General features: G+C 44.9%; 1 annotated feature.

Moving 5' to 3' along the window:
• Nucleotides 2,188–2,764: an enhancer, noted in NCBI's record as "H3K4me1 hESC enhancer chr15:70809116-70809692 (GRCh37/hg19 assembly coordinates)". NCBI's record gives its function as "activates a minimal SCP1, AML or CMV promoter by ChIP-STARR-seq in naive H9 embryonic stem cells {active_cell/tissue: H9 hESC(naive)}" and the evidence as "EXISTENCE:reporter gene assay evidence [ECO:0000049][PMID:30033119]".

The following is a 3,021-nucleotide window of genomic DNA, read 5'->3' on the forward strand; positions in this document are numbered from 1 at the left end:
AGGATGAAAACAGCCTAGCGGACAAACAGTAATTTTCCAACATGAACTATTGTGAATCTAGATGTTGGAGGTAAGCAGGACTCTGATGCCACAAGATCAGGCTCTGCTAACACACTAGGTACATTCTAAACAGACACTGAACACCACAGGCTGCAGCCTCTGCTTCCAGGGCGCTTCACTGACGTTTCAGAGATTCCTCAAGAAAAATGGGCAGGTATCTACTGCCTCGACTTAAAGACCTCACCAAGTGGGACTGCCAAAATGATGAATTCCAATCTGCATCCTAGATTGCTGCAAATGTTTGCAGGTCCCCAGGGCAGTTTTCCAGCTCCAACTTGATTTTATAATCCAGTGTCTTATCAGATACTCCACATTAAATACATGGAAAATTGAGAACCCCTTTGTCAAATGTATCCAGGGGAAGAACAGCTGCAGTCCACACTCTTATTCTTCATCTGTCTCCTTTTCATCCAGGATCTGCCTCTGGATCCCATTCTGTCTATCCATCTAGCTTCCTTCTCTTTATCTATGTATCTACCTGTCATCTATATCTACCTATTATCTCTATGTATATCTGTCTACCTATCATCTATATCTACCTATCTATCATCTATATCTGATATGGTTTGGCTATGTCCCCACCCAAATCCCATCTTGAACTGTAGCTTCCATAATTCCGACGTGGTGTGGGAGGGACCCAGTGGGAGATAATTGAATCATGGGGGTGGTTTCTTGTGGTAGTGAATAAGTCTCACAAGATCTGATGATTTTATAAGGGAGTTCTCCTTTCGCTTGATTCTCATTCTGTCTCGCCTGCTGCCGTGTAAGATGTGCCTTTTGCCTTCCACCATGATTGTGAGGCCTCCCCAGCCACATGGAACTGTGAGCCCATTAAGCCTCTTTTTCTTTATAAATTACCCAGTCTCCGGTATGTCTTTATCAGCAGTGTGAAAACAGACTAGTACACTATTTATATATAATCCCATGCTAATCTTTGCTGAAATGGTCACCTTTCTGCATCAAAGCATTCTCAGGCTCTGTCTGTGACTGCTCACAGGTTGGACTTTAAATTCCTAGTCTCACCCATTGGATTCTACATCATTGTCCAGCTCTGTTCCTAGCACTTCCAAAGACTCAGTCAACACCAAGAATTAAGATAGCTTGTTTCCCTTCTAAGTGTGCCTCCTGCAAAATGCCTGCTGCTTCTTCATTTATGTCATCTTATTAAATTTATAAGTTTTCATTTCTAAAAATTTGAAAAATGCAGAAAAAATACTGCCTTGAAAAATATCTAGTTTGTTTAACAGCAATACAAAAATTTTTTAAAAAGGAAAGAATCCTATTCCCAAGACCCAGAATTAAACACTGTTAACTCCTTGGTATAGTTGTTTTCAGGGTTTTCAACTTTAAAACAAACAAACGGAAAAAAAAACTCACTGTATAAGTATCATTTTTAAAAAATAAGTTCATTATAAAGAACTTAAACAGGCTGGGCATGGTGACTCACACCTATAATCCCAGCACTTTGGGAGGCCAAAGCGGGTGGATCACTTGAGCCCAGGAGTTCAAGACCAGCTTGGGCAACATGGCAAAACACCATCTCTACAAAAAAAAAAAAAAAATATATATATATATATATACACACACACACACACACACACACACACACACACACACACAAATTAGCTGGGCATGGTGGTGCATGCCTGTAGTCTCAGCTACTCAGGAGGCTGAGGTGGGAGGATCGCTTAAGCCTGAGAGGTGGAGGTTGCAGTGAGCTGAGATCATGCCACTGCACTCCAGCCTAGGTGACAAAGTGAGACTCTGTCTCCAAAAATAAATAAATATAAATAAATAAAGAGGGTTCTCCACCCAGTTTTGACCAATTGTTGCCTCATGAGAAGGATGCAGGACCAATGTTCCTAATTCTTTCAATTTTCAAGAGAAGCCAGAAATACGGATTTTACATGGAATTTTCAAAAGTGGGCAATGAATTCAACAATTTTAAAATGTGCTGACCCCTCCAAAAAATGTGGGACTCATCCAATCCCCAGTCACATATTTGCAAGTCAGTAGTAAACGCTCAGTAAAGCAATGTGCTGATGCTGGTCATGCAGTTTGCACATTTGTTGAGGCTTTGGTGAGCCTCACCTGGAAAATAATATGCTGTGTCCTTTAACAGCTGCCCTCTGTTCGAGTGAAACAGCTTGAATTTCCACACTGGATAAACTCCATGCAGTTCTCTTGGTTCTGACTCTGTTTACCCCTGGCCCCTCACAGTCTTCTCCAAGGCCGGACTGTCTTGGCCACCCTCAGAGCACCTAGAGTGAGCTCAGGCTGGAAGTGGCAGCAGGAGGACAAGGGAAGCCACCAAAGGCCAAGAGCTGCAGAGGCTCCATTGCCAGCAGGTGGCCTGCACCAAGGGATCTATGGAATGCTCGGAGGACTCCCTGCTCTATCTAGTCTTCTCTCGGGCAGCAACTTCTCCACCCATATGTTGAAAAAGAGGAGATGCCATACACAACTGAAGCAGCAAAATCACTGAGTCTGTGTGACTTGGAGCAATAAGGCCAAGTCCCTAGCCATATCTGTGAAAAACATACCGAATTCCAACTGTCCTGTGGTGTGTACCTGTGCACACACCCATACTCACAAAGACGCACTCGGGGACAGTCATGCGTGCACACACACACACCCACAAATGCATAAGCACAGGAGCACACCCAGATTCCCACCCAGACGCTTCCACCTGTGCCCGCTCCTGCCACCCCACCCTGCATGCCCACAGGCACATAGCATGCACTTGCCTGTGTACACACGCGCCAGAGAGGAGAGGCTTCCTGGAAAGTCTGGTCTGCAGCACTGCCCTAACTGGGAACCAGCTTTACCAGCAAACCCCCTTCCCCCAGCCCTGCCCAGGGAGTCTGCCCCAGGCAGGGGCGCACATGGTGGAGTTGATGACCTCAGGTTCATAGAGGAGTTTCTCTAGGACGTGACGAAAAGAGGCAGAGAAGAGGAGAC

The sequence above is a fragment of the Homo sapiens genome, chromosome 15 (genome assembly GCF_000001405.40).
Source record: "Homo sapiens chromosome 15, GRCh38.p14 Primary Assembly".
Classification (NCBI taxonomy): Eukaryota; Metazoa; Chordata; class Mammalia; order Primates; family Hominidae; genus Homo; species Homo sapiens.